The sequence below is a fragment of the Homo sapiens genome, chromosome 6 (assembly GCF_000001405.40).
Source record: "Homo sapiens chromosome 6, GRCh38.p14 Primary Assembly".
Taxonomy (NCBI): domain Eukaryota; kingdom Metazoa; phylum Chordata; class Mammalia; order Primates; family Hominidae; genus Homo; species Homo sapiens.
In genome coordinates this window covers 26,244,577-26,256,998 of record NC_000006.12, presented here as the reverse complement: position 1 = coordinate 26,256,998, position 12,422 = coordinate 26,244,577, and the positions used below count along the sequence as shown (strand labels likewise).

Here is a 12,422-nt window from a genome sequence, read left to right as displayed (position 1 = left end):
TCCATGGGACAATATTTTCTCCATGGGACATTATTTTCTCCATGGGACAATGTTTCATATCCTAGATAATAAGGACCATGTGTGGTTCACCTTTGTGGTTTGATTCAAGTAATGTGGGCATTTCAGATGTGAAAGGCTTTGAGGAACAACGCAGAGTACCTTGAAATGAGAAAGCTGAACTGTTTAAAGCAAAAGGTGGCTGGGTGTGGTGGCTCACGCCTGTAATCCCAGCACTTTGGGAGGCCAAGGCGGGAGGATCACCTGAGGTCGGGAGTTCAAGACCATCCGACCAACATGGAGAAACCCTGTCTCTACTAAAAATACAAAATCAGCCGGGCGTGGTGTTGCATGCCTGTAATCCCAGCTACTCAGGAGGCTGAGGCAGGATAATCACTTGAACCCTGGAGGCAGAGGTTTCAGTTAAGCCATTGCACTCCAGCCTGGGCAACAAGAGTGAAACTCCGTCTCAGAATAATTAAATAAATAAATCAAGCAAGCAAGCAAGCAAGTAAGCAAAAGGCAAGGTTGAATCTTATTGGTGAGGGTCAGGGGGAGTCAATGCATAAAGAACATTGACACCAATAGGTATGTCTCCAATGTTGAGTTGAGAAAATCCAGGAAGATAGAGGACAGGACTAAGGCAGGTAGAATTGGAACTTCACCAGATTGCTGGCTAGAATGGATATTTAAAATAGCATAGGCAGACACAGTAGCTCACACCTGTAATCCTAGCACTTTGGGAGGCCAAGGCAGATGGATCACTTGAGCCCAGGAGTTTGAGACCAGCCTAGGCAACATGGCAAAACACTGTCTCTACAAGAAGATATTAAAAAATTTGCTGGGCATGTTGTTGTGTGCCTGCTGTCCTAGCTACTTGGGAAGCTGAGGTGGGATCACCTGAGACCAGGGATGTCGAAGCCACAGTGAGCCGTGATCACACCACTGTACTCCAGCCTGGGTGACAGAGTGAGACCGCGTCTCAAAAAACAAAACAGAAAAACAGAGTGCCATTGGACTTCAAACTCAGCCCAATCTCATTCATGTTAGGCATTGAGTCTGACCATGTAGCCCTGACTTCACTTCTCAAGGTGTTTTTCTGATTTCCTAAGCCCTATGCTGATTGCAAACAGCTACATTTGAAGTCAGCACCGTCTGTTCATGTTAAAATGAACATTTGATTCTAGTTAGAGATGCATTGTTTTCTTATCTTCCTAACTGAAGCAATTCTTGCCAATGTTTACTTTTTTTTTTTTTTTTTTGAGACAGGGTCTCTCACTCTGTCACCCGGGCTGGAGTGCAGAGGTGCAATTTTGGCTCACTGCAACCTCCACCTCCCAGGTTCAAGTGATTCTCCTGCCTCAGCTTCCCGAGTAGCTGGGATAACTGGCACAGGCCATCATGCCCAGCTAATTTTTGTATTTTTAGTAGAGATGGGCTTTCACCATGTTGGCCAAGGCTGGTCTCGAAGTCCTGACAGATGATCCGCCCGCCTCGGCCTCCCATAGTGCTGGGATTACAGGCGTGAGCCACTGCACAGGCCTTCCCTTCCTTCAGGATTAAATGTAAACATGATAGCTGGAGCTGGAACAGGGATATATTCAGAAAGACAAAATTACAATGTCATGCGGAAAACTACTTTAATGCAATGATAGCCTCCAAATACGCTACCAGGGAGGCTGTTCCAGAGGCTATGAATAGAAAGTCTCATAGCCCAATGTAAGTTTCCTGAGCTCCACGGCTTATTTAATTTTATTGAATCAATTTGAAACATATAGTTAGAAACAAGCGGAAAGAGCTTTGGCAAGTGAACACATTTCAGATAGGTTGCAAATGACACAGTCTCACTACCTGAATCCTTGGTTATGCATGTCATATGTGTGAGGTTTCTCTCTCCCCCTTGCATATTTTCCCCACTGAGAGGGTGATTTCGAGAAACAGAGTTCATGATAAGCAAAGGAGTCAGCAGATGCAAATTATGTGGAGCCAACACATGCTTGCTCTATTGGTATACAGCCACTTATATTGCTCAATAGTGGCATACTGACCAGCCATGCCTTTTATATGCATGCTGTCTGTAGAGGGCCAATGAAACCAGCGAAAATGGATGTTAACAGTGGGCGGTCAATTTATGACCCCATAAATATTGAGTACTTTATAAATATGTGGTGTCTCATAAATATCCAGCAGTTTTTGGTTCTTTCATCTCTTCCTGTCTCTGAGTAGTGCACACACAAGCCCTACTGACTTTCTCTATGTCTAACACGTCTCACAGGCTACTGATCTATGACTGATTATGAATATAGGTTTTGAATTTTGTCTACATCTCACAGACTTCTTGTATAGGTAATACTTAACACTTCTTGTGAATTTCATCTGTCCCATTTGTTAGGTTGGTCCTCCATGGGAGAATTCAATAGCAGAATATATTTGAGAGAATTCCAAATAATAAGAAACACATTATATATAGAGGACAAACACACATTTTATGTATATATGATATATATATATATATACAGAGAGAGAGAAAAAAATTTTTTTTTTCTTTTCTGAGACGGAGTCTCGCTCTGTCGCCCAGGCTGGAGTGCAGTGGCACGATCTTGGCTCACTGCAACCCCCAACTCCGGGGTCACGTCATTCTCCTGCCTGAGCCTCCCAAGTAGCTGGGACTACAGGCGCCTGCCACCACGCCCAGCTAATTTTTTGTATTTTTAGTAGAGACGGGGTTTCACTGTGTTAGCCAGGATGGTCTCAATCTCGTGACCTCGTGATCCGCCCGCCTCGGCCTCTCAAAGTGCTGGGATTACAGGCGTGAGCCACCGCGCCCGGCCGTGAGAGAGGGAATTTCTTTTTTTTTTTTTTGAGATGGAGTCTGGCTCTGTCGCCCAGGCTGGAGTGCGGTGGCGCGATGTCTGCTCACTGCAAGCTCCGCCTCCCGGGTTCACGCCATTTTCCTGCTTCAGCCTCCCGAATAGCTGGGACTACAGGCGCCTGCCACCACGCCCGGCTAATTTTTTTGTATTTTTAGTAGAGACAGGGTTTCACTGTGTTAGCCGGGATGGTCTCGATCTCCTGACCTCGTGATCCGCCCGCCTCGGCCTCCCAAAGTGCTGGGATTACAGGCGTGAGCCACCGCGCCGGCCGTGAGAGGGAATTTCTAAGGATATTCGAACTCCCATGTCTGAGCTGTATTAGCTTTGTGTGAGGGAAAAGTAGACTTTCATTTTTATTAACTAGTAACTATTTTAAGTTGTTACTTCCAGAGGTATCAAATACTAACTCACACAGGTGGACATTAAAAAAACCTTTTATTAAAAAATTATTTGCATAAATATACAATATTTGCTGTCTTATAGTATTACTTTCTATATTTCAGTGAGGTTGTACATTTTATTAAAGCACTTCTATGAAATCCTTGTAAATCACTGATGAGACATGGCCAGATGAGAATATAAATGGGTAGCCCCTATTTGTAACCATAGTTCCATCAATATAGACTTAAACTCTGTGCTCTCTCCCTTCCTCTGTCACGGCTCTCTTGTGCTCTCCCCACCCCTCCTCCCTGTCCACTAGGGAGGAGGCAAGAATGTCTACTTTTGAATTCCAGTGCTGCTGGCTCCTCTTCTTCTGCCATCTCTTTTGCTCCACCCTCCCTCCAGAACTGCCTCCAGGAACTTGCAAGTTTTCAAGATTATGTTAATTCACCTTTTGGCAATTTAAATTCAGTCCCATCAAAAGCCGGTTAAAAGAAAAACGTGACCTTCAGACTTACGTTTCTTTCTTTAGTTTGTGAGTTTATTGTACAAATATCCACTTTAGATTTCAATCCAGGTAAAGGACAGGGATAGTTTCTATCTTTCTCACTGCTCTTTACTAAGTATTTTCTGTAATTTAATAGGTTCTCAATAAATGAATAAATTACTAGTCCAACCACCAGATACTTTTGAGGAAAAACTGAACGTACCTCTCAGATATAGGCTCTTAATATACTCTTCCCTTTCCTCCTGCTACCCCCATATTTTATGAGCCAAGAGAAATGCCCATGAGGGTGGAGGAATGTGGGGATTTCAGTCTATATTACCCTACCATTAAAATCGGTAATCTTGATATTTAAAAAACCCACAGCAGGAGTTGTATACATAGTTTTGGTGATTCCTGTTAGCGTTTTCAAGTTAAGACTGCCTGAGCCTGGCCTTTTTGCTGACTGCCAACCAACGTTACCTAAAAACAAAGACACATTGTTGCCAGGCCCTTTACTATTTATATTCTCTGCTCTTCCTTGTCTTACAAATCTTAAGTTTTTCAAAGACAGCTAGAAGCCCTCATACTACTTGCCAAATAACTAAAGGTTTATTGCATGGCATTTTGTTTTCATTTCCATAAAGTTTGTCTCCTAATCCTTATCTATTAAGAAATTTAAATTTTTCTCAGGTACTTGGTAAACTACAATATCCCAGTTAACATTAACTTCCACGAGACTCCTACAAAGACCACATTATGCTATCTAGAGTGGGTTATTATAGGCACTAAATGTACTTTCAACTCATTTTGAATACTCAAACTTACCAGCTCTAGACTGGTGGACGTGTTGCTCCAAATTGATTGCATTTTAAGTTGCAAACTTAGTTTTTGGTTCCTAAACAAGAATGCCCACTTTTCCTGCTGTGTCAAATTATCTGCTCAGTAATACAAGGCAAGGCCGAGGTGGGAAAACTTGCTTGAGTTTAAGACCAGCGCTTGAGTTTAAGACCAGCCTGAACAATGTAGTTGTACCCCACCTTTATAAAGACAAATAAACTCTAAAAGCTTAGTGTTTGTCAAACGCACAGAATAAACAGGTGATGTAGGAAAATTTTACCTGTATTGGCGACACTTCTCCCATAGAATACAGCAGCACCCAGCATTAAAACTCTTAATTGAAATCATTAAGTGGCTCTGAAAAGAGCCTTTGGGTTTGAACATGCGTCCATTTATTTGGAGCTGGTGTACTTGGTGACGGCCTTAGTGCCCTCGGACACGGCGTGCTTGGCCAGTTCCCCAGGCAGCAGCAGGCGCACGGCTGTCTGGATCTCCCTGGAGGTGATGGTCGAACGCTTGTTGTAATGAGCCAGGCGGGAAGCCTCGCCGGCGATGCGCTCGAAGATATCGTTGACAAAGGAATTCATGATCCCCATGGCTTTGGAGGAGATGCCGGTGTCGGGGTGGACTTGCTTCAGCACCTTGTAAACGTATACGGAGTAGCTCTCCTTGCGGCTGCGTTTACGCTTCTTGCCATCCTTCTTCTGCGCCTTGGTCACCGCCTTCTTGGAGCCCTTCTTCGGGGCGGGAGCGGACTTAGCTGGATCAGGCATTGCAACAAGATAAAGGAGTAAGAATACACCCCAAAGTGAAGGCTCAACAGCACAGCTGGCCGTTTTTGTAGGTCTTTTATGCAAATAGGTGCTTAATCATTCTCAATCCCTGATTGGACCAAATCAGCCAATAAAAAAGTTAAATTCAAGTCTACTTTTTGATTGGATATTTATGCGAAACCTACCCTAAATCCTTTTCTACACCTCCCGGGGGAAAAAACGTAGTTTTTCATTCAAAACATTAGAAAAACTAATGCCTTGCCAGTAACATCTACCTATAAGTTCTGTCTCCTTAGGTGAGAATTTAAACAGAAACAAAGACGGATATTATGTTTCTAGTTTCCTACCAAATTGCAGCTTCCGGATTTAAAATTATCTATGAATAACTAATTCTAAAATGGAAATTAGCTAAAGATTTACGTGTTTCCAGAATTATACCATTGGCTTTCTTTTATAATCTGATCAAGGTCATTAGCATTCTTACATAAAAATTTAAGCTTTTTCAGTAATCAAAGGATGAACACATCTCAAGAGCGATGGGATTTTAATATCCCCTAGGAACGGAGTGTCTGGAAGTGAAACCAGTGTTTGTTGAAAGGTTCAGAATATATGAAATAGGGTACTTATATTAAAAATAAAATATTTCTTCAAAGTAAGAGTTTTTTAAAAAATATAAAGGAGACATTGAGCTGGACCAATCACTCTCAAACGCGGTATTTTTGAATCGCTCCGGAACTGCAGAACGTTCATTTCCGTCTGTCAAACATAATCCCAAACAAACTGATTAAAATAAAATCAATGAAGGTACGTAATACAGGTAGGCACATAAAACATAATAAAATGTAAGGAACTAGGGGAAAAAAGCATTTAGATAGGTTAAGATTTTCTAAAATGAGACCTAGTAGCTGATCACAAGTCCTATCACACTACATAATTCAGGGCGCGAAACTGGAAGATTCGGACCAATCAGAAGGACTTTGCCTTTATAAATAGGAGTAAGAACAACTGTTTGTTCAGTTGTGACCATTGCTTGAAACCCATTCCTATGGCACGCACGAAGCAAACAGCTCGTAAGTCCACTGGCGGCAAAGCCCCGCGCAAGCAGCTGGCCACTAAGGCGGCTCGCAAAAGCGCGCCAGCCACCGGTGGCGTGAAGAAGCCCCACCGCTACAGGCCTGGTACTGTCGCCCTCCGTGAAATCCGCCGCTATCAGAAATCGACTGAGCTACTGATTCGCAAGCTACCATTCCAGCGTCTGGTACGTGAGATCGCGCAGGACTTCAAGACCGACCTGCGCTTCCAGAGCTCGGCTGTGATGGCGCTGCAGGAGGCCTGCGAGGCTTACCTGGTGGGGCTCTTTGAGGACACCAACCTGTGTGCTATCCACGCCAAGCGAGTGACTATCATGCCCAAGGACATCCAGCTCGCTCGCCGCATTCGCGGAGAGAGGGCATAAGTTGTACTGAGGGTGTGCGCCAACTTAAACCAAAGGCTCTTTTCAGAGCCACCAACAATTTCAGTTGAAAGCGCCGTAGCACTAGGGAGTAATGTCTCCTAAAACAAGGAGGGTGGAGGGTTAGGGGATGGGGGCAGGGCCGGTGGCTCTTCTAAACTAGGCTTTTGTGTCTTGGCCATTGTCTTCAAAATGGCCGATAGTGGCGGCTCACGCCTTGTAATCCCAGTACTGTGGGAGCCCGAGGAGGGCGGGTTACTTATACAAAGGTCAGGAATTCGAGACTAGTCTGCCTAACATAGTGAAAACCCGTCTTCACTAAAAGTACAAAACCAAAAAACAAAAATACGGGTGTGGTGGCGCCCTCCTGCAGTCCCAGCTATATCGGGGGCTGAGGAAGGAGAATCGCTTGGACCTGGGAGGCAGCCGTTGAAGTAAGCCGAGATCGCGCCACTCCACTCCTCCATGGGTGACAGCGAAACCCTGTCTCAAAACAACAAAACAGAAAATGGTTGTGTGCTGAGGCAAAACCAAAACTACAGGGACAAAGGAAACAACTTGTTGACAAAAGTGTACGAAAGCTTTATTTGTGACAGTATGGGGAGTTAAATCATTATTATTCTTTTTGGCTTGCCCTGAGAGTTCATTTGAGACATCAACAGGAGAAACGGATACAAGTTAATATAATACAAATTTTACTTGGCATGGGAGCCTTCCAATTAAAACCCCGAGGTGCAGGTGAAGCTGTACACTATGCTCAGGGAAAACGGGGTTCAAGGAAATATTATTGCAACTTTTTTTTTTTTTTAGGCGGAGTTTCGCTCTTGTCAGCCAGGATGGAGTGCAGTGGCGCAATGCGGGATCCCGGCTCACTGGGACCTCCGCCTCCCGGGTTCAAGCGATTCTCCTGCCTCAGCCTCCCGAGTAGCTGGGATCACAGGCGTGTGCCACCACGCCCGGCTAATTTTGTAGCTTTAGTAGAGACGGGGGTTTCACCATGTTGGCTATGATTGGTCTGGAACTCCTGACCTCAGGTGATGTGACTCCTTGGCCTCCCAAAGTGCTAGGATTACAGGCGTAATCCACCGTGCCCAGCGCAATTTCTTGTTATTCTAGTAATTTAATCAGCCTGGCCAACATGGAGAAACCCTGTCTACTATAAATACAAAAAATTAGCCGGACGTGGTAGCAGGCAACTGTAATCCCAGCGACTAGGGAGGCTGAGGCAGAAGAATCACTTGAACCTGGGAGGTGGAGGTTGCAGTGAGCCGGGATCGTGCCACTGCACTCCAGCCTGGGCTACAGAGTGAGACCCCGCCTCAAAAAAAAAAAAAAAAAAAAAAAAAAAAAATCTAATTATTTCAAAATAATGTAGAAATAGGCTGTGATGGGATTGCTGCTTTTATTGCTTGGAATTCCATGGTTTATCAAGTTTGTTTGTTTGTTTTCCCCACAAATAGTTGTTTGCACTCTTGGCTTTTTGTTGTGGTGACCTGCTCATTAGGCCATAATTCATTTATGCAGTTACATGATTTTTTAGATATTGCTGACCCTGCTTCAAAAACCCATGATCTTTAGGACTGTTTGTTTGGTGCATCGTAACTGCACAATAAAAAATCCATTGTTATTTTGAACATTCTATTTTAGAGACATCATTTATTTCCACTTAAATGCTCTCGTTTAACTAGCTCAGCAAGTATTTTGTAATGTAAAAATTTAGTGGTGCTTATGTCTTTATTTTGGCTTGTGAGCAAATTCCCCTTTTCTCCTATTAACATTTATGACAGCTTTCCCTGAGTTTCCTGTTGTATCAACCCCAGAAGACAGTCACCCCCTGTACCTTCTGTCCTCCACATGAGAACAGGGCATGGAGCCTCTGGCAATTTACATTATCTTTTTTCTGGGCAATTCTTCATTGCTTAATTGTATAGTGCTTAATATAAGTGAAAGCACACTGAATGTATTGGTGTTGCAAAGGCAATGTTTTAAAATCCTTCGGTGTGCTTTACCTCTGCATTATTATTTTGTCTGTAAAAAAAGGCTGTGGCAATAAGAATTCGTTTACCAACTGGCCGGTGAGGTGGCTCACGCCTGTAATCCCAGCACTTTGGGAGGCCAAGGCGGGCGGATCACCTGAGGGCAGGAGTTGGAGACCAGCCTGGCCAACGTGAAATCTGGTCTCTACTAAAATACAAAAATGAGCCGGGAGTGGTGGCACATACCTGTAATTCCAGCTACTTGGGAGGCCGAGGTAGGAGAATAGCTTGAACCCAGAAGGTGGAGGTTGCAGTGGGCAGAGATTGCGCCATTGCACTCCAGCCTGGGCAACAAGAGCGAAACTCCGTATTTTAAAAAAAAATCATTTACTAACTATATGCCAGTGTTTTGCTTAAAGTAACTCAATTATTAACAAGTATTTACCCTTTTTACAGATAGGGCCATTGAAACTCAGATTAACATGTCTAATATCGGTGAGAGAGCAGTCACTCACAGATTCGAAACCAAAAACCAGGCTACTTCTCTTTAGCTGGGCGGCTTGGCAATATGATTAGGAATTCTTTTATGTCTTGGAATTTGGGCTTGTTTCAACTTCAGCATGGTAAATGCTCTAATATACAGGGAAGGAGTAAATCTTTTTTTTTTCTTTTTTGAGACGGGCTTCGCCCTTGCCCAGGCTAGAGTGCAGTGACGTGATCTCGGCTCACTGCAGGCTCCACCCCACGGGGTTCATGCCATTCTTCTGCCTCAGCCTCCTGCATAGCTGGGACTACAGGCGCCCGCCACCTCGCCCTGCTAATTTTTTGTATTTTTATTAGAGACAGGGTTTCACCGTGTTAGCCAGGATGGTCTCGATCTCCTGAGCTCGTGATCCGCCCGCCTCGGCCTCCAAAAGTGCTGGGATTACAGGCGTGAGCCACCGCGCCCGGCCAGGAGTAAATCTTTAAACACATACAGACATCAAAAATCGAGATACTTTCCTCTAGGTACATGTTTGACACTTTCGTTTAGAGATCCTTATTCTCTAAATGCCAGCAAATCTCCCTACTACAAGAGAATTTCTTATGTCTTGTTATTACTAGAAGTAGATGAGCGGGGACTGAATACGTTTTCCCGCCTTTCCTGGTCTTTCAGTTTTCAAAAAGGTCTACTCTACCGTTATATAAAAGGCTGCGGAAAGCGAGTAATCGTTTTGTTTAGAGATAGTTCTGACTTGTTTATCATGTCTGTTCGGGGCAAGGCCGGAAAAGGCCTTGGGAAAGGCGGTGCCAAGTGCCATCGCAAGGTACTGAGCGATAATATTCAGGGCATTACCAAGTGCACTATCCGGCGCTTGGCCCGGCATGGCGGTGTCAAGCGCATCTTGGGCCTCATTTATGAGGAGACCCGCCGGGTGTTCAAGGTGTTCCTGGAAAATGTGATCTGGTACGCCGTGACCAACACGGAGCACGCCAAGCGCAAGACGGTCACCGCCATGGCCGTGGTCTACGTGCTCAAACGCCAGGGAAGAACCCTGTAAGGCTTTGGCGGTTAAGTGAGGCCAGGCCTTTCCTTGCAATATCGTTAATGGCCCTTTTCAGGGCCGCGTACGTTTTCTTCCGAAGGGCTCACGTTTGACATTGTGGAAACTTAACTAACGCACTCAGCAATATTGTGTGTTTTATTGCTGTAGGTGCCCAAAAGCTGTTAGGTGTATAATGCTGTAAAGTATAAATTTACGCCAAGGCTGACATACAACATGGAATACAGGTGGTAAGTTAATCGTGTGTTCAGAGATTAGAAATCTGGTGGGCTGGCTGAGGACATCAACGGCTACATTGTCACTTAAAAGCTCTCAAAATGTGGTTATGGTAGTGTGTTTTTCTCCTTACTGTTAGGATTACCCTCCGTAATTAAAATTGTAGTTTTAGTGCCAAGATAACCCGACTTTTATATTCTGCTTAATAAGCAATTTCAATAACCAGAGAATACACAATAATTAGCACAAACTTGCCAGGTGCCGTTCTGACAAATGTGTCTGCAGTGGAGGGACTGGCCCCCTTGCTAGTTCAATGATCTAATTTAGCAGCACTAAAAGAAGTTTACCTGTTTCGTGCCTTTGCTTGTGATCCATCGTAAATATAGAAACACCTTGATAAGGTGTAACTGCAATAATTCGTGTCTCAATTTACTGTTTATGAAAGTACAGGGGTCAAAGAGCCAATTAAACATCTCAAGAGGGGGAAAAAACCTTCCAGAATGTGGAACATTTGGGACAATTGCTTTGTTCAAAAAGCCACCGAGAAAAACTGGAGGACTTTAAGTTTGAAGGAGATTAAAGTAACATAGCAACTAAATGTATTAATTGCATTCTGTCTCTAAAGTTTTAAAGGGCATTTTGGAGATAATCAAGGAAACTTGAACGTGAACTGGATAACAGGTCATTTTAGTAAGTTTTTAAAGAAAGGTTTGATATATTGAGATTACATGGAATTTCCCTTATTGTTAGGGGTTAGATGCTGAAGTGTGTAGGTGTAAATTCTCATGAGTCTGTCATTTACTTTCGGATGGTGGTAAAATCCACTCTATTGAATGTAGGTAGTGGATGACTGATAAACCCATCTTTTGTTATGTTTTATTCTGAATATTTTTATAATAAAAATTTGGGAAAAATTAACATAATAAACTGTTACAAACTCTGGTGCCATCACGGGAGAGGTCTCTGAACAGGTAAGTGTAAAAGACCTGTCTGCAGAGAGAGGATGCAAGTAGCAGGACACTGAGCCGCATGACACTTGTCATATGCAGGCACATTTATTCCTCTTGCTCTCACTCATCATGATCAGCTGTTAGCCAGAGGGGAGGGACATGGGAACAGGGCAGTTCAGGTACTGTTGGGAGAGGGTAGGTCTCCACTAGTGTGAAGACACAAGGGGCAATAAGTAGTTTGATGCCATGGAGACTGGGAATACATATATGACCAAAGATGCATGCCTGGCAGTTGCCTGATTGAGGAGGGCCTCCTCTTGCAAATTGAGAAACTGAGAATTAACCTTATGCTGTTGGAAGCATGTTAATGAGGTGTGACATGGAGAAACTTGCATTTAAGTTACATCAATTCTTTTGGATATTATGGCCATAAACTTTGTGCTGTGTAGTGAAAATATTGGGTTCTGCTAAGGTCAAGACAGGAAACAAGTAGCTTACTCACATGGGATAATTGGAGGAGGGTTTCTTAAAGAAATTATTTGCAAATTAAGGGCAGGATACAGAAAACTAAAAAAGTAGTGCCTCCATCCAGGTCTAGTAAGGATCACTTATAACCCTGAAGGGGCATGGGAAGCAATTGCTATAGCTGCAGAGAGAGGGATCCCTGGTCTGGAGAGATGCTGCTAACAGCCAATGAAAGGGAAACTGGGGAATAAATACCCCATCTCATTTTCCTCCTTTCCTCCAGTCTCCTGCATGGGGTTTCCACTGGCTGAATCCTTCCAGAAGGTGGAGGTCTGGGTAGCATATTGGTCAGAACCATACAGTTAGTCTCCCAAAGCCCAGGGCTTGGAGGAGAAAGTGGAAATAAGTCTAGAGGTCCTACTGGAAGACACTTTATGAGGAAATGACACCACTTCCATGTTTCATAAAAT

General features: G+C 43.8%; 3 protein-coding genes across 3 annotated transcripts, besides 10 other annotated features; 2 read left to right on the top strand and 1 right to left on the bottom strand.

Annotated features, from left to right (window-relative positions):
• Positions 2,283-2,332: an enhancer, noted in NCBI's record as "active region_24226". NCBI's record gives its function as "activates an Ori minimal core promoter by ATAC-STARR-seq in GM12878 lymphoblastoid cells {active_cell/tissue: GM12878}" and the evidence as "EXISTENCE:reporter gene assay evidence [ECO:0000049][PMID:35858748]".
• Positions 2,395-2,894: an enhancer, noted in NCBI's record as "H3K4me1 hESC enhancer chr6:26254333-26254832 (GRCh37/hg19 assembly coordinates)". NCBI's record gives its function as "activates a minimal SCP1, AML or CMV promoter by ChIP-STARR-seq in primed H9 embryonic stem cells {active_cell/tissue: H9 hESC(primed)}" and the evidence as "EXISTENCE:reporter gene assay evidence [ECO:0000049][PMID:30033119]".
• Positions 2,895-3,396: an enhancer, noted in NCBI's record as "H3K4me1 hESC enhancer chr6:26253831-26254332 (GRCh37/hg19 assembly coordinates)". NCBI's record gives its function as "activates a minimal SCP1, AML or CMV promoter by ChIP-STARR-seq in primed H9 embryonic stem cells {active_cell/tissue: H9 hESC(primed)}" and the evidence as "EXISTENCE:reporter gene assay evidence [ECO:0000049][PMID:30033119]".
• Positions 3,630-3,719: an enhancer, noted in NCBI's record as "active region_24225". NCBI's record gives its function as "activates an Ori minimal core promoter by ATAC-STARR-seq in GM12878 lymphoblastoid cells {active_cell/tissue: GM12878}" and the evidence as "EXISTENCE:reporter gene assay evidence [ECO:0000049][PMID:35858748]".
• Positions 4,720-4,819: an enhancer, noted in NCBI's record as "active region_24224". NCBI's record gives its function as "activates an Ori minimal core promoter by ATAC-STARR-seq in GM12878 lymphoblastoid cells {active_cell/tissue: GM12878}" and the evidence as "EXISTENCE:reporter gene assay evidence [ECO:0000049][PMID:35858748]".
• Positions 4,905-5,635: an enhancer, noted in NCBI's record as "NANOG-H3K27ac hESC enhancer chr6:26251592-26252322 (GRCh37/hg19 assembly coordinates)". NCBI's record gives its function as "activates a minimal SCP1, AML or CMV promoter by ChIP-STARR-seq in naive and primed H9 embryonic stem cells {active_cell/tissue: H9 hESC(naive and primed)}" and the evidence as "EXISTENCE:reporter gene assay evidence [ECO:0000049][PMID:30033119]".
• Positions 4,924-5,385, bottom strand: H2BC9 (H2B clustered histone 9). Its single transcript, NM_003524.3, has one exon. The coding sequence runs from the start codon at positions 5,346-5,348 to the stop codon at positions 4,968-4,970; it is 381 nt and encodes a 126-aa protein (NP_003515.1). The 5' UTR covers positions 5,349-5,385; the 3' UTR covers positions 4,924-4,967.
• Positions 5,170-5,329: an enhancer, noted in NCBI's record as "active region_24223". NCBI's record gives its function as "activates an Ori minimal core promoter by ATAC-STARR-seq in GM12878 lymphoblastoid cells {active_cell/tissue: GM12878}" and the evidence as "EXISTENCE:reporter gene assay evidence [ECO:0000049][PMID:35858748]".
• H3C7 (H3 clustered histone 7) lies at positions 6,364-6,857 on the top strand. Its single transcript, NM_021018.3, has one exon. The coding sequence runs from the start codon at positions 6,394-6,396 to the stop codon at positions 6,802-6,804; it is 411 nt and encodes a 136-aa protein (NP_066298.1). The 5' UTR covers positions 6,364-6,393; the 3' UTR covers positions 6,805-6,857.
• Positions 6,482-6,641: an enhancer, noted in NCBI's record as "active region_24222". NCBI's record gives its function as "activates an Ori minimal core promoter by ATAC-STARR-seq in GM12878 lymphoblastoid cells {active_cell/tissue: GM12878}" and the evidence as "EXISTENCE:reporter gene assay evidence [ECO:0000049][PMID:35858748]".
• Positions 6,942-7,311: an enhancer, noted in NCBI's record as "active region_24221". NCBI's record gives its function as "activates an Ori minimal core promoter by ATAC-STARR-seq in GM12878 lymphoblastoid cells {active_cell/tissue: GM12878}" and the evidence as "EXISTENCE:reporter gene assay evidence [ECO:0000049][PMID:35858748]".
• Positions 7,452-7,531: an enhancer, noted in NCBI's record as "active region_24220". NCBI's record gives its function as "activates an Ori minimal core promoter by ATAC-STARR-seq in GM12878 lymphoblastoid cells {active_cell/tissue: GM12878}" and the evidence as "EXISTENCE:reporter gene assay evidence [ECO:0000049][PMID:35858748]".
• On the top strand, positions 10,003-10,388 carry H4C7 (H4 clustered histone 7). The gene has a single exon (NM_003547.3). The coding sequence runs from the start codon at positions 10,022-10,024 to the stop codon at positions 10,316-10,318; it is 297 nt and encodes a 98-aa protein (NP_003538.1). The 5' UTR covers positions 10,003-10,021; the 3' UTR covers positions 10,319-10,388.
• Positions 10,389-12,422: the final 2,034 nt, after the last annotated feature.